Genomic DNA, 17,191 nt, shown 5'->3' on the forward strand with positions numbered 1-17,191 from the left:
ACTGTGTTCTCTTATCTGAAGCTCCATGATACTAGAGTCTGACATGGAAGATTGTCTTCTGTATCATTGATCTGACTAGGATGGCATTTTAAAATGTTCTCTTTCTAAATGGAGAGAAGCAAAATTGTGTCAGTGATCTTAACCAGTAGAAAAAAAATGCAAAGAAAGTATAACCTGTTTCTGGAGAGGTAACTTTTGACTGATCAAGCAAAAATTTTCCTCTTTGGTAAAGACTGATCTTCATGATAAGTGGTAAGTAAATTAAGCACCTTTTAGAGGAGAGGTAACTCTAATAGTTTCATTCAACAAAAGTTGACTGAGTGCCCACAATGTTCCAGGCACTGTGCTAAAGTCTGAGAGAGATTGACACAGTTTCTGCCCCTGAGAAATTTATAATTAGGTTGGAGAGACAGACCCATAAGCAGATACTGCAACATAGTGTGGTAAGCTCTGCATTAGACACACACATAAGGATTTATAGGGAACCAAAAGGGCATTCTCTAAGCAGCGTCTCAAAAGATACCATTGAACATAGCTAAGAATATCCACCACAGGGGCCCTGGTCTCACTTTGTTGATGAGTGTTATAGAGCAAAATGATTAAATTGAAACTTTGACAGTTTAATACTCTATGGGTATATTAATGGCATGCTTGTTGCTACATTCATTTCAAAATGAAAGTTGAAAAGCTTTATTAAATGAAGTGAGAAGATTCTGTGCATTTGACCTAGTGCTACTAGGTGGTTCAGAGGGTGACAATGGGGTGCCCCATATGATAAATGAAACGTCTATGAGGATAAACTAAGAGATTGTAAATGTAGAACTGAGTGTGAGGGAGATCACTTAAAACTCTAGTCAAGGTGACCTGGGTATAATCTCAAAGAGAGGATTGGAGTGTGGCTGAAAAAATGATACTTGTTATTACATGTACCAGACATTATTCTTAGGACTACTTTCAGAAGTAGGTATTTTTATTGTTCCCTTTTTGTAGATGAAAAAATAGGCTTAAAGAGGTTAAGTGTAACTTGCTTAAGATCACACACACAGAGTAAGTGGCAGTACTATCTGGTTGCAGAGCTCATGCTCTTTCCCATTCAAGCTTATACAGTCTTAGAGAGGTTTGAGTAAGTAGGAACTTAACTAATTGTGATGTACTTTGTCTGGAAAAAGAATTTGAATAGATATTCTCAGTCCAGCGCATAGGAGAGGAAAGCCCAAAGAGCTGTTCTCAGTACCTACCGCACTACCTGCTGCACATCACAGAAAGGGCTAAATCTGGCAAACACAGATGTAGACCCCAGGGAAATGTTCTTGGATGTGGGTTAGGGATGGTTCTGTAGGCTTCACTGTGGCCTAGATAAATCTTCCTCCCTTTGTTCTTGCTCCATACTTGTTAGTTTTTCATTGTTCATTTGGTTTTACAGGTACCTAGCCACTCAGAAAGAGGGAGCCTTGGATAGTAGTCACTGAAAAGGACTACTATTTCAAACCCTCACTTCAACCGTATTCCTCGTTGTCAAACAGCTTTCTGCATTAGTCTCATGTGAGCTGGGGTAGCTGAGTGTGGGTCTGTTCTGTTCTGGGGCAGTGACAAGATCCAGATTCCTCAACCTATTAATACAAAGGTGAGGCCACAATTTCATGGTGTCAGTGACAGCAAGAGGGAGTTCCTGGAGTAGCAGTGCCGTGGGGCCAATGCCATTCATGATGGCATGGAGGCTGCAGTATCATGCTCCTTGGAGGAGGCAGCAGTGGTATCTTGCTTGGTCCTGGAGTTTCATGTGATTTAGAATGCAGATGTATTATCTTTGGCTGTGTATTCTCAGAATCTGGGTCTTTAGACCTCTTGATGAAACTGAGCTACCCATTCCACTTACATTATAATAAGTTCATTTTTGTCTTTAGTGGAAAAAGAAAAAAGAAGAGGCCTACAACTTGGATTGCTATGAATTCACCAAGGTAGTGCCATACTGTTAGGCACTGTATGTATGAACAGCCAGCCCCTCTTGCTTTGCCAGGACACTGCACTCACATGCTTGTGTGTGTGTAGTCAAAGCAGATTAAGATTAGGATACCAACTGTAAGGACTAATTACGGCAGTTTGTCACAGCTTCGCCAACCTAGCCTTTTTTTCTTCTAGATTTTTTAGGATTGAAGGCAGAAAGGAAAAACATCCTTCAGGAAATCCTTCAGGAACTTTTGGATTATTGAGATTTGCACTAAATTGGATACAGTTTTACTCATATTTATCACCTACTTTCTTTGCCCTAAGTACTTCTCGAGAAAATTTAACCCTGCCAGAATTTATTGAAAAATGTAACTTATTCCTAAATAACTTGAATAAAAACCTTAAGCCATGACTTCAAATAGCACATCAGTAATACCTAATCATTTTAGCTGTTTATTTCTGTATGTGCATTTCCTAGCAGTCTACACATACAGATGGTTCCAGCTGGTTTTAGTTTTGCACCATTTCTCTATTTTATCAATCTGCTATTATAAATACTAGGAAATAAATGTTTAAAAGGGGGAAAAGAAGCAAAGGGTGTAGCTGATGTGCAGATTGGGATTGAATGTGGGAATGAGGGGTGATGGGAGTGATTGGAAATATTGCAGCCCTGCATAGTCTCCATCAGGGATGTGACAAAGTGGATAATCTCTACCACGTGAGAAACTTCCAACATTACTTGCAAATCAGATTTAATGAATAAAATAAAGCTGTAGCACTTGGCACATTCATTGGGACCCTTACCCAAACATTATCAATATTGTGTACGTTATCTTTATTATCAGGTCACAAAAGATGTCATAAAAGAATTTGCAGATGACGGCGTCAAGTACCTGGAACTAAGGAGCACACCCAGAAGAGAAAATGCTACTGGTAGAATTTATACTTCTCAGCAAATGTACTGTCCTTTTCCTATGTGCTTTGATCACTCACATGTTTGTGAGTGGGAATATGAAGCACTAACTTTTATACTATTGTGTTGTTCTGTATTTCATTGAACCTTTAGTCAACAGTCCAAGTCCTCTCTCTGATGTACATTAATGATGTTCATTTTGTTTGTTTTAGAGACAGGGTCTTGCTGTCTTGCCCAGGCTGGAGTGCAGTGGTGCAAACATAGCTCACTGTAACCACAAACTCCTGGGCCCAACAATCACCTCAGCCTCTAAAAGTGCTGGGATTACAGGTGTGAGCCACCGTGCCCATCCTGATGTACATTATTAATGAGTGAGTTATTCTTAAGTAAAAAGTAGTAAAATTCCAGTCAGGCATTATCTGTTTAAGGAAGGAAACAAAGGCCTGCAGCAGTTTCTTTTGTTCTTCCTTGTTTAGTTGTTTTCACTCTGAGAAAAGGATACCTGCTCCTTATGTTTGCATTGTTACAAGCAGAGGCTGATTCTTGCTTCCTGCATCATGGGCACTTGTGAGACAATGCCATTGAGTGGATGCAGAATCATGTTTTATGGTAGTTACTAAAATGTAGGTTATTCATTCGCTTCTCAGGGAATAGTTTCTTAGGCCAGGAGCAAGCTGTGATGTGGTAAAACCTCTCTGGATAGAGATGAGATCTGGCTATGATCTGGAGGAATTTCCTGAGATCCTCCTTCTATAAGAGCAGCATCAGGAGACATTGGGGCCCTCTTAGCACCTTGTTTATGACCCAAAGAGACCTAGGTCATCTTGTTTCCTGATATATGTAGCTCAGTAATCATTTGGGGGTAAAATTTTTGAAACTTATTGTAAAGTATAAGTGTTTACATAAGATAAGGAGAAGGCTCTCATCTTGCATTTTTGAACCATAGAATCAGTTCCACGTTGTACTGGTGAGAGTAGTGAAAGGGAAGGAGAGAAGAGCCAACTCATAGGGCTCTTTCAATGGAGTTTTAAAAGAAGGATATTAACCTAAATATGCAACAGTAGAGGAATGGTTAAATAAAGGCTAATGGAATATTAGGCAACCATTAAAAATACTGGTGAAGACACTTTAATGACATGGGGAAATACTCGGACTCATGTTAAATGACTGAACTGGGTACATATATACCTAGTAGTATCTTCTCTATTTAAAAATGTGTATATGGGCAGAGTGCAGTGGCTCATGCCTGTAATTCCAGCGCTTTGGGAGGCTGAGGCAGGAGGATCACTTGACGCCAGAAGTTCGAGACCAGCCTGGGCAGCATCATAAGACCCCCCCCACCTCTATGGGCTCCAAGGGCTGCAGTGAACCATGATCGTGCCACTGCCCTCCAGCCTGAGCAACAGAGAGAGACCTTAAAAAAGGTCTCTTGAAATAATACATAAAAATAAATGTGTATATGTGTACTTGGAAAACAGTAGTTATCTCTGGGTGGTGGGGTTATTTTTATTTATTTATTTTTTTTGAGACGGAGTCTTGCTCGTCACCCAGACTGGAGTGCAGTGGTGGGATCTTGGCCCACTGCAACCTCCGCCTCCAAGGTTCAAGTGATTCTCCTGCCTCAGCCTCCCGAGTAGCAGGGATTATAGGCACATGCCACCACACTTGGCTCATTTTCATATTTTTAGTAGAGACAGGATTTCACCATGTTGGCCAGGGTGGTCTCGAACTCCTGACCTCAGGTGATCGGCCCGCCTCGGCCTCCGAAACTGATGGGATTACAGGCATGAGCCACCACACCCTATTTTTATTTTTATTTATAATTTTATATATTTTACCAGAGACTTTCCACCAAACATAAGCATTTTATAATCCGGGTAAAAGGGTATTTTATTTTACCCAATGTAGCCTAAAGAAAAAGAAAAAAAGGTATTTTACAGGAGGTTGCTCTGGAGAGTGCTCTTGCAGATCCCCTCAGAGAGCAGAGCACTCAGACTTGGAAGAACATGCCTGGTTCCCTGGATGAGAAACACTAAGCCCGAGCAGGATTGAGGGGAAAGGAATCCAAGTTAGGACTTTTTTTCTGGACTAGGAGGAGAGAAAATATCCCTTTTAAAAAAAAAAAAAAAAAAAAGGACAAGTGTAGTGGCTCATACCTGTAATCCCAGCACTTTGGGAGGCCAAGGCGGGCGTGTCACTTTCAGCCCAGGAGTTTGAGACCAGCTTGGGCAACATAGCAAAACCCCGTCTCTACTAAATATCCAAAAACTAGCTGGGCGTGGTGGTACCTTCCTGTAGTCTCAGCTACTCAGGAGGCTGAGGTGGCAGGATGGCTTGAGCTCAGGAGACAAAGGTTGCAGTGAGGCAAGATCATGCCACTGCACTCCAGCCTGGGTGACAGCCAGACCCTGTCTCAAAAAAAAAAAAAGCCTTTATTTTTTTTCATTTCATTTCTCTAACACTTCATTTCCCCCTAATTTTATTAAAATATAATTTGCATTTACTAAAATATACCCATAAGGGCCATGTTTTCACTCATCTTTAACTATGCCCTTGTCATAGCATAAAGTGAAAATGTAATTGTTCATATAGGATTGCTGAAGGTGAGGGATGAAATAGTTGATGATCTCTTTACATGTATTTTCTATGTGTCCTTTCTAGGAATGACTAAAAAGACTTATGTGGAATCTATACTTGAAGGTATAAAACAGTCCAAACAAGAAAACTTGGACATTGATGTTAGGTAAGAAGATTGTACCTTAGTAGTTAACATTTACAAAACCAGAATGTGAATTTTTACTGTTTTGATCATGGGTGTAATGGATTTTTTAAAATTAATCATTCATTGATTTATACAATAGAAAAATAAAATCAAGGACCCTGTTGTTTAAAGTGAGAACACAATTCTGAGTTTATTCATAAGGCAATAAAATTCTGAGTATTTTTACATGAGTAAAGTATGGTGTTCCTTTGCCATTAAGCTAAAATGAACTTCTTACTGTGGCCTACAAGGTCCCACATGATCTGGCTGCCTCTGTTACTTCAGCAGCTCATCTAGACCACTCCTCCTCCCTTACACGTGGGCCTGCTGTCTGTTCCTAAAATAAGCAAAAAAGACTGTTCCCCTTCAGCACCTTTGTTTAGTATTCCCCAGAACACATTTCTACCAGATTCCTGCCCAGCTGGCTGGCTTCTTCTCATTATTCAGATCTCAATTGGCTGTTACTTCCTCAGAGGGGCCTTCCTTTACCACTCTGTCTAAAGTGCCCTACTAATCCTCTAGTCACCCATCTATTTCCTTTATGGCATTATTTGTAACAAGATTAGGAATTATCTTGTGTTAGTTTGTATATATGCCCACCCACTAGGGTGTAAGTGTAGTGAAGCCAAGGACCTTGTTTTTTGATTCACCACTACATCTTTAGTACTTACCACAAAGTAGGTACATAGTATGGGCTCAGTAAAGCCCTAAATGAAGAAAGAAAAAAAGCTAGCTGTATAGTTTCAGGCTATAAGACTCTAAAAATTAAGCTTAAGTAATAACCCCAATAAAAAACCAAGCAGAAGACAATAGAATGCAGAGAAGAAGACATACAAAGAGCTGGTAGACATATAGAAATACAGAGAAAACTACTTAATTCATTAATCATATATTACAATACTGTTTCAGTAGGCTAAAAAAAGTAATAGCCAGTGTTTGTAAGTTACACACTGCTGGTAAGCATATGTAATTAATAAAACCTCTTTAAATCCTGCACTGGTACACAGGTAAGGGGGGAAAAACCTCTCTAAAGAGCAATATATGTCAAGATTTATAAAAAAGTTTTTCCCTCTGACACAGTAATTCTGTGCTAGAAATGCATCCCAGGAAATAGATTGATTTATGCATAAGATTCCTTATTATAATGTTATTTATAACAAAAATTAGAAAATAGCTTAAAATATCCAGCATTCAGAGGATAATTACATTATGGTATGCTCATATGATTTATACTATTTTCTAACATTATTTTAATGGCATGGGAAGTTGCTAAGTGAAAAAAAAAGATACAGCATTTTATATGTAGTTGATCTAAATTTTGTAAATAAATAAATGAACAAATGCTAAAGGAATTTATTTCGTCAATAAATAGTAAACTCATAACTGCTTTAAAAAATTATAGGGGTTCTCTGGGTATTCAAGAAATATTAACAGGCCAAGCACAGTGGCTCATGCCTGTAATCCCAGAACTTTGGGAGGCCAACATGGGCAGATCACCTGAGGTCAGGAGTTGGAGACCACCCTGGCCAACATGATGAAACTCCATCTCTACTAAAAATACAAAAATTAGCCAGGTGTGGTGGCAGGCACCTGTAATCTCAGCTACTCAGAAGGCTGAGGCAGAATTGCTTGAACCCGGGAGGTGGAGGTTGCAGTGAGCTGAGATCGTGCCATTTCACTCCAGCCTGGGTGACAAGAATGAAATTCTGTCTCAAAAAAAAAAAAAAAAGAAATATTAACAGAGATTCTCTGGGTATTCAAGTCTTATAGAATTCCAGCTGATATTTGAGGAATGAACTTTTATCAGATATTTGATACATTTTAGAAAGAGAATATTTCTAATTTTGTAACCCCCTAATGAAATAATGGATCTCACCCTCCTAAGAACACACCACCACCAGTTTACTCTTGCCAAAAAATGGAACCTGATCTGCCTCTGGACTAGACAGGAAATGTAAGAAATAGGACAACATGTTAAAGGCTGGGCATGGTGGTTCACGCCTGTAATCCCAGCACTTTGGGAGGCTGAGGCGGGCGGATCATGAGGTCAGGAGATCGAGACCATCTTGGCTAACACGGTGAAACTCCGTCTCTACTAAAAATACAAAAAATTAGCCGGGCGTGGTGGCACGTGCCTATAACCCCAGCTACTCGGGTGACTGAGGCAGGAGAATCGCTTGGACCCGGGAGGCAGAGATTGTAGTGAGCCCGAGATTGCACCATTGCACTCCAGCCTGGGCGACAGAGTGAGATTCCATCTCAAAAAAAAAAAAAAAAAATAGGACAACATGTTAACAACACAGGATACAATCAACAAAATCCAGACCATGGAAAACTTTGTAGGACAAACAACTTGGTTTCTTCAACAAATAAGTTACAAGAAAAGCAGGGTGGGAGGTGGGAGGAGAGGAAAGAGTGGTTGTAGATTAAGAGAGGCTTAGAAGATACATTGACTTACACAAAGTGTGGACCTTGTTTGGATCCTGAATCAAACAAACTGAAGAAACAAATACAGGAACAAAAAAACCTCGAAAGACAACTGTAAATCTGAACAGTGACTGGATGCTTGATGCTATTTAGGAATTCATGTCTCAGTCCGTATGACAAAGTAAAATGTCATGTTGTCTAGATTCAGTCAGGCTATACTTTTCCTAGTGAGATGTATTACACGTAGTCTGCCATCTCTGTCTGGCTGTACTCAGAATTGTCTTTTTCATCTGTGTCATATTAGTTTTCAACTCTGTCTTTCTTACATTAAAGGTATTTGATAGCAGTTGACAGAAGAGGTGGCCCTTTAGTAGCCAAGGAGACTGTAAAACTTGCCGAGGAGTTCTTCCTTTCTACTGAGGGTACAGTTCTTGGCCTTGACCTCAGTGGAGACCCTACTGTAAGTTATTTTTCCTACGTACATTTTAATTCTAAAAGGTAGAATCAGTGGGATAAGGACTAGCTTCGGGCATCTTGCATTGCATTCTCCAGAGTGTCCAACAGACACTCCATTCTGTGGATGAAGGCCTGTTCTGCCCTGGATGACCAGAATGCCTAGAGCAGCTCTCATCCAAGGTTCTGTGAAACAATTAAGTACCCTAAAAGAAAAAAAAAGAGTTGCCTGACTATATGACTATTTTCTCCATTCTTCTAAAGATGGTGCACAACTAGTCCCAGACTATATGCACTATAATGTAATTCATTACATACAATGGATGGATGTCTTAGGGTATTAGGGCTTAACTGTCTCATAGATAGTTGAGAAATGTTGACTTGAGCTTCTTGAATGTCAGATTCAAGCAGAAATCTTGATATTCGGGGCTGGATAATTTGTTGTGGGGCTGCCCCATGCATTGTAGGATGTTTAGCAGCATCCTTGGCCTCTACCCACTAGATGCCAGTAGCACTCTCCCAGATATGACAACCAAAAATGTCTCCAGACATTGCCAAGTGTCCCCTGGGGGGCAGAATTGCTCCTGGTTGAAAACAGCTGAATAAGAGAGTCCCATGAAATTGATTCTTATGGCTTTGTCCAAACCTGGAGTATTCTGCCCTTCTTTTTATCCACCTGTTTAACGGAAGTGTTTTGAGTAATCATGAGAGTTCCTGAGTCAAGTGAGTGAGTTCTCCTTAGCTCTGGATATCTAGGTGTCCTTCCAGGCATAAAATTTGGTGACTACTATATCCAGCTTAGCTGATTGACCTCAGTTTACTGATACTAGACAAGATTCTCGAGGGCAGGAACTGTGCCTTTGCCAGCTTTGTATTCAGTGAAGTGGCTCGCACATTGTAGGTGCTTTATAAACAAGATGTGCAAATGAATTAATCTACCATTATTTTTTTCTGCCATTATGTTGTTTATTGGAATGGAGTACTCAGTTCCTCAGTTTTCCCAGAATTCTCATGCATCCTTATTTTAACTTTTATCTTTAAGGTAGGACAAGCAAAAGACTTCTTGGAACCTCTTTTAGAAGCTAAGAAAGCAGGTCTGAAGTTAGCATTGCATCTTTCAGAGGTAAATAATATTGTCTTAGGCTAGAAGGGACAGATTGTAATAGAAAATAATAGGGTCATTTGTAAGTGACTAGGAATAAACCGGGATTGGAAAAACATTTTTTAAAAAGGGAAAGTAGAAATATTTTTACATCTAAATTTAAAAATACATGACTTGCTTCAGTCTCTACTGTTACTGTTTTTATCCTTTTGTGGTTCCTGGGAGTGGCTGTTGACTCAAATGCCAGCTGTGTCATTAAAAGCAGTTTAATGACGTCTTGCTAGAGAAAATGCATGAATTTCCAACATCAGTCTTGTCATTGGCAAGCTGACTCTAAGAAAAGCACCAATTTATCTCACCTGTCCTCATAGTAGAAGGGACCTGATTGTATCACATCCACTGGCAGTAAAGGAAGCAGCTCGTCATTTTTCAAAGCCCAGCAAAGAGGTCCAGTGCCCCTCATCAGCCCCAAGCTCACTGTTAGCATGAACGTAGTAACAGATAATTGCTGGGAAGTAGTCACTTTCTTAAGCACATCCTTATGAGGCAAACCCCTTTTGAGGGACTTTGCTGCAATTTTCCCCATTTTATAAATGGATGTATTTTTTACCTCAGTACTTCTAGCTATTTAATTATTTCTTAAATGCAGAAAATAATACTTAGTCTACTTACCTCACAGTTATTGTATTAAAGGGGTAATGTATAAAGGTTGAGTAACATCATGATTTAAAGATTAGGGAAAAAAATCAGAACCCCTTGCCAGTACTTGTATCTTTCATGTCTATAAGCAGAAGGTCAGTAATCTAGTGGCAGGACTTAAAATCTAGAATCTATGTTTCCACACTCTTAACTCAAAAGACCTTTCATCCACAGGACATCCTATGGCTGACCTAACTGATGTGTGATAGAAACCATTGGTCATTATAAGGGAATAGCATGTGTGACAGTGACCAGTTATCTCTGGCCTTGTGTGCAACATCAGAACTTGTTCTTTACCTTAGTTTCTGTTGCTTTTATCATCCAGTCCATTGGATATAAAAGATTTCATTTAAAAATGTTCTGAGCATTTGTGTTTTGGGCTATCTAGGAGATAAAGAGCACAGCCAGACATTTTCATGGTGATTGTGGTATGTACATAGCCAGCCTTGTCAGAATCAAACATGATGAGCACACTATGTGAGGAAAGTAACTGGGCCCTGGAGTCAGATTGAGTTAGGTTTCACGCTTATCTCTACCATTCACTAGCTCTATGACCTTGGACAACTTTTTTTAAAAAATCCCTTATATTTTTAACTATAAGAGTTATGTATACCTGAAAAAAATCCAAGTGTCAAGAAGGAAAATAATTAAAAATTAAAAGCCCAATTTCTATTTGTTTTGCTCCCCAGAGTTAATACTATTAACAGTTTTGTGTTTATAGTTTTTCAGAACTTTTTATAATATATATGAACACATGTCTATAACGGAACACACATATACATATGGAGTTGTGAAGTTTTATTTTTTGAAAATTACTTAATTTTTCTCAGCTTTAATTTCTTCATCTTAATACTTTTTAAGATTCTTGTGAGGCCTTAAATCATTTGTGTGAAAAGGCACAAAGTAGGTTCTTAATAAGTGTTTATTATTATCATTGAAATGAATCTAGAAGAATATTGAGGAAAGAATGAGAAGATAAAAGGCAAAGAGCTAGGAAGGCAGAAGTAGTTCAGTTTTCCAAAAGGTCTGCATTAAGTACTACTTAGAGGGGCAGGGTACCTAGCTATAGAAAAAAATACTCTTAAGAACCACTGAAAGAGGCCATTGATCCCCTTTCCTCCCCTTTCTTTAGATTCCAAACCAAAAAAAAGAAACACAAATACTCCTGGATCTGCTTCCTGACAGAATCGGGCATGGAACATTTCTCAACTCCGGTGAGGGAGGATCCCTGGATCTGGTGGACTTTGTGAGGCAACATCGGATACCACTGGGTAAGGCTTGGAGTTTCAGGTCTTCCAGATGACTCTCTGTCTCTCCCCCAATCCCCAGGTTGCCTGGGGATTACAGAGAAGTACTGTTCTAAAAGTACGAATGTCATCTAGCTATTAAAAGATGGAGTGTGTGCTTTCTGAGCCTTATTTAAAACAGAAAGCTTTAGCTTCCATTAGAATATAAGCTCTATGAGAGCAGGGCCCCTGCTTGTCTTATTCGTTGTTACATTCTCCAATGCTTGGAACTCAATAAGAATTTTTTAAAGGAATAAAGGGTCATCTAGAATTTTAAAATGACTTTAACAAAATTGACATGTGTTATGAAAATATGTAACATTATTTAAAAATTAAACATGGAAAATCCCAAGTATATTTTCACATGTCTGTTGATCATTACACACTTGATTGTCTATGTGTTTATGAAGTGCCTACTTTGTTGTCATTGCTGTCGATAGAGCAGTACACAAAACAGGCAAGATTTCTTTCCCAAGAAACTCATATTCTAGCAGAGGGAAGACAGTAAACAAATATACAAGAAAGTATCAGTGTTCTGTGAAGAAAATTAAACAGGCTGATATAGTAGTGATTGTATAACCACTTTTGATTGGATGGTTAGGAAAGGCCTTTCTAAAGAAGGAAAAAGTGGTTGGCTGCAAACTATTTTACAGAATGATCAATTTGCTATATTTACCAATTTATAAAAATGCTTGTGTGAGTATGTTTTAACTATAGAGTTTTCAGCAATTCATAATGGGCTAGATTTGCTAAGGAAAATTTTAAATATCCACAAAAGTGGAGAGAATGGGAACCACTGGCATAGTGATCTTACTTGGTGTGGTGGCCTAGCTCTGCTCCCAACAGAGGGGGCAGCTTGGGTTTGTCATCCGTTAAACTGAGTGAGCCTGTGTTGAGGCTGCCTTACTCAAGTGAGCAGATACCATCAATCAAGTCAGTAAGGTATTTTACTCTGGCTGGGGAGCCTGGTAATATTTCCAGGAAGGAATTTGTTAATAATAGGAGTCACTCTTTTTTTTGGGGGGCGGGGGACGGAGTCGCTCTGTCACCCAGGCTGGAGTGCAGTGGCGCGATAGCTCACTGCAAGCTCCACATCCTGGGTTCACGACATTCTCCTTCCCCAGCCTCCTGAGTAGCTGGGACAACAGGCGCCTGCCACCACGCCCAGCTAATTTTTTTTTTTTTTTTTGTATTTTTTTAGTAGAGATGGGGTTTCACTGTGTTAGCCAGGATGGTCTCGATCTCCTGACCTCATCATCCACCCACCTTGGCCTCCCAAATTGCTGGGATTACAGGCGTGAGTCACCATGCCCGGCCAATAGTAGGAGTCATTCTTAAGATGGACTTAACTTACCTAGAAGCAGAAGGAGGTGAATGGATGATTATCTGGGTAAAAGCGTTTAGGGGTTCTTAGAAGCCATGGCAAAGTCTCTGCTCATTCTTAGCTCTTTATAATGCTCTCACACCTGGTGCTACAGTTTTCTTACCTTTGTTTTGGCTTCCACCATTAGACCAGGAGGGATTGCAGTAGCTTTTCAAAAAACCCTTCTGCTCCTATCATTGATAATTCTCTGCTTTTTTCATCATGACATTCCTCTTTCCTCTCTATTTTGGTCAAAGAAGGAGAAGTGCATGGCTGTAAAAGGGATATTAATTCCTTGCCTGGTACCTCTGTTGCCATAAGTTGCACCACATGCTTCCTGTACAACTACAGTAATTGAACTACAAATTTTCACACGTAAGGAAAGGTCGACTTTGTAAACTAATAAACTACTTTAAATTAGCAAAATTTGGAAATATTTCTCGTGTCTACTTGGTGAACACTGAATGAGTTCACTTATTTGCTTTTAATAAGAGGTTTTTTTCCCCTTTTCATCTAGAACTCTGTTTGACCTCAAACGTCAAAAGTCAGACAGTTCCATCTTATGACCAGCACCATTTCGGATTCTGGTACAGCATTGCCCATCCTTCTGTGATCTGTGTAAGGTGTTCCGTGTGAAGTATTTTGCTCCTTTTTGCTCCCTGAGTTGCATTAATTCAGATGTTCACTATCTAGCTGACTGCCTTGCATGCCTGAGGATAATGCCCAAGTAGAGGAGTTAGAAGGGACCGGGGTGTGGCTGAGTATGGTGGCGCACACCTGTAATCCCAGCTACTCGGGAGACTAAGGCAGGAGAATCACTTGAACCCAGGAGGAGGAGGTTGCAGTGAGCAGAGATCATGCCATTGCACTCCATCTTGGGCAACAAGAGTGAAACTCCATCTCACAAAGCAAAAAAAAAAAGGGACTGGGACATGAGAGGCTACAGAGGGCCAGGGTGACTCTGGTTTGGCTCTCTAGCAAAAGGTACTTGAGAGGACTTAAAAACAAACAAAAAAACTGATGCTCTGCACCCATCCCATGAGATTCTGTTTTATTTGATCTGGGGTGAGTCCTGGGCAGAGATAGGCTTTAAAAGCTCCTTAGGTAATTTTAATATCCAGCCAGAGTTGAAACACTGCTCTGGTATCTTTTCTTAAGTATAAATAAATCTGTTTAGTTACAGCTATGCATAGATAAATTTGTAGGCCCTTGTTTAGACTCTTGAAAGAAGCATAGTAAATAGGAAAATAGACTCTAAACAAAAAGATGGTTGTTTTTGAAAAATCCTTCCTTTTTCATTTTGAAACATTCTTGTTTACGTTGGCAGACTGATGATAAGGGTGTTTTTGCAACACACCTTTCTCAAGAGTACCAGCTGGCAGCTGAAACATTTAATTTGACCCAGTCTCAGGTGTGGGATCTGTCTTATGAATCCATCAACTACATCTTTGCTTCTGACAGCACCAGATCTGAACTGAGGAAGAAATGGAATCACCTGAAGCCCAGAGTGTTACATATTTAAGCTATAATGAGGTGAACTACTTCTGAGTATGTGTTTCAATCAAGTTCCTGCCATATCCCACTTAGTAAAACAGTCCACCACTCCTTTGAAGCATAGCAACCAAGTTCCTTGGGCTCTATCACCAGCACCTTACACATGGCAGGTACTCAGTAAATACGTGTCTTCAACTGACTCACAAGCTCTCAGGTGCTTACTGGGTGGGACTTGACTGTTGTTGCTAATTAAATCCCCATTCCACCAGTGATTATTGTGACTCAGCAGTCCTTCCCTATTAGTGATCATAAAATTTCAGGGAAATCGAAGTTTCTCATCAGGAAATGTTTTGGAATTACTAGTATAAAGTTAGGAAAGTGGGGAAATTAGGTTACTGCCGAGACCTTTAAGCCTTCTAAACAGCTTTATATTTTATTGTGCATACTTTAATCAGACTCCCTTCACTCGCTTTAAGTTTTTAAAAGTATTCCCCAGCCGGATGTGATGGCTCATGCCTGTAATCCCAGCACTTTGGGAAGCCAAAGTGGGCAGATTGCTTGATCCTAGGAGTTCAGTAGCAGCCTAGGCAACATGGAGAAACCCTGTCTCTACAAAAACAAAAAAACAAAAAACCGGAAATTAGTCAGGCACGGTGGTACACACCTGTAGTCCCAGCCACCAGGGAGGCTAAGGTGGGAGGAGACCTGATCCCAGGGATGTTTGAGGCTGCAGTGAGCTGTGATGCTACAGCACTCCAGCCTGGGCAACAGAGTGAAACCCTGTTTCAAGAAAAAGAAAAGTATTCTCCAAGATCCCAAGACCATTGACACCAGGCCACATTGTATACCAGGGATTTATGTGAATGCCTAGGGATGACCGTAGTGACAGATAAAGCTAGGTGCTGAGATCTGGTTTTGCCCTCTTTATGATTGTCCCATCGGTACTAGAAAGTGAAGTCATTGCTCCAATTTTGGAAGAGGAGAGAATAACTGGCTGAGGGGTGAGAAAGACAGAAATAGCTGCAGCTCTCTTTTTTTTTTTTTTCAACAAAGGCTCTCACTCTGTTCCCCAGGCTGGAGTGCAGTGACATGATCACAGATCACTGCAGCTTTCAGTTTTAAAACAGCTTTTATTACATTTTCTTTGTGGAAGCTGTATTTCTACCTTAGTACTCACTTTCTGCTTGGTCTGAAAGATACCTCTAGTAGTGGCAACATTGTGTTAAGTAGAGTTCATTGGGTCTCTTGTAACCCTACCCCTACATAATGGACCACTGGTGCAGGCTTACATAAACACACATACTGTGGCCACTTCAGCTGAAGACAAGGGACAAACTAAGATAGTTCTGAAAGGTAAAAAAACAAACAAACAAACAAAAAACAAAAACAAAATTATTAGATACCAAGTTATGCTTGAATTGCTTTGCTCTTTAGAATGTGTGTTTTTCCCTGGTATCAGAAGAAGTTAAGGCTGATGACACCCCTAATTTAAATTACTAAGGATTTCTGATAGGTTTTCTGTCTTTCTGTGATATCGTAAAGTATTTATTTGGTCTTTGACCCTGTTTCCTGGCATACTGCTCCTAAAATCCTTAGAGTCTCCAGAGTGATGGCTTTTTGTATCTAATGAGTTGACTGCTGGCTGGCAGCCCCTAGGGGCTGGTCACTGGAAAGACAAATGCATGATTAGAGTTGGGACTTTCAGTCCTCCCCCAAACTCTTGGGAGAAGGGCTGAAGGTTAAGTTGATCACCAGTGACCAGTGGTAATCATACCTTCATAATGAAGCCTCCATAAAACTCCAGAAGAACAGATTTTGGAGCATTTCCAGGTAACTGAACATATGGAGGTCCCTAGAGGGTGCTGTACCTGAAGAGGGTAGAGGGTATAGGAGCTCCCTGTCCCTTCCCACATGCCTTGCTCTATCCATTTCTTCATCTCTATCCTTTGTACTGTCCTTTATAATAAACCAGTGAACCTAAGTGTTTCCCTGAGTTCTGTGAGCTTTACTAGCAAATTAAACTCAAGGAGGGGTCATGGGAACCCTGATTTATAGGTTTGGTCAGAAGCACAGGTAAAACCACCTGGGGTTTGAACTTGGCACTGGAAGTGGGCAGCAGTCTTGTGGGACTGGGCCCTCAATCTGTGGGATCAAATGCCATCTCTAGGGGATAGCATGGGAAACTGGAGGACACCTAGCTGGTATCTGCTGCAAAATTGATTGCTTGCTTGATGGTGGGGAAAAAACTCCACACATTTGGTCAGAGAAGTTTTCTGTCTTTATTGTGGTGTGAGAGCAGAGGAAAAAAGTTTGTTTTTTCCGCTCAGACTTTGTTTTAAGGAACAGGGGAGAGGGAAGTTCTGTGGTTTTTGAAGTTCTTAGATACGTGTGTGTAGCTTTGTGTGGCATTATATATAGCATTATATTATTTTCTACCCTTATCTACTCATACAGAAATTGCACAGTAAAAACATCAAAGTTTATTCATAAAATGTGGATCTATTGCAGTCACTAAAAATGTTGCAGAACAGATTTTAATGACTGAAAGTGTTCATGATAATATATTCAATGAAAATATGGTTATAAAGTTTTATAGTCCTTTTTTTGTTTAATATCTATACAAAAGCTATTGAAGTGTATGATTTTAATTTATTAGCCTTATCATGAAATTCTTTTCACACTATAAAAGTCATGCTAGTCTTAAGTGAGGGTAGGGATGGCATAAGTTTTTTTTGTTTGAGGTTCT

At 39.9% G+C, this 17,191-nt stretch overlaps 1 protein-coding gene across 21 annotated transcripts in view; it reads left to right on the forward strand.

The window, feature by feature from the left end:
* The window catches only part of MAPDA (N6-Methyl-AMP deaminase), a 24,219-nt gene extending 7,122 nt beyond the window's left edge, over nucleotides 1-17,097 (forward strand). For 6 of the 21 annotated variants that reach the window (XM_017021965.2, NM_001324366.2, XM_011521291.3 and 3 more), the window contains 7 exons: nucleotides 2,793-2,880; nucleotides 5,522-5,603; nucleotides 8,382-8,508; nucleotides 9,544-9,624; nucleotides 11,435-11,573; nucleotides 13,469-13,569; nucleotides 14,279-17,097. In XM_017021965.2, coding sequence (XP_016877454.1) covers nucleotides 2,793-2,880; nucleotides 5,522-5,603; nucleotides 8,382-8,508; nucleotides 9,544-9,624; nucleotides 11,435-11,573; nucleotides 13,469-13,569; nucleotides 14,279-14,473 — 813 coding nt within the window. In that variant the 3' untranslated portion in view covers nucleotides 14,474-17,097. Of the gene's footprint in view, nucleotides 1-2,792; nucleotides 2,881-5,521; nucleotides 5,604-8,381; nucleotides 8,509-9,543; nucleotides 9,625-11,434; nucleotides 11,944-13,468; nucleotides 13,570-14,278 lie in introns of those variants that run through there. The other 15 variants (XM_047432203.1, NM_001159280.3, XM_024449858.2 and 12 more) reach the window with 5 other exon arrangements.
* Nucleotides 17,098-17,191: the final 94 nt, after the last annotated feature.

The sequence above is a fragment of the Homo sapiens genome, chromosome 15, assembly GCF_000001405.40.
Source record: "Homo sapiens chromosome 15, GRCh38.p14 Primary Assembly".
NCBI classification, from domain to species: domain Eukaryota; kingdom Metazoa; phylum Chordata; class Mammalia; order Primates; family Hominidae; genus Homo; species Homo sapiens.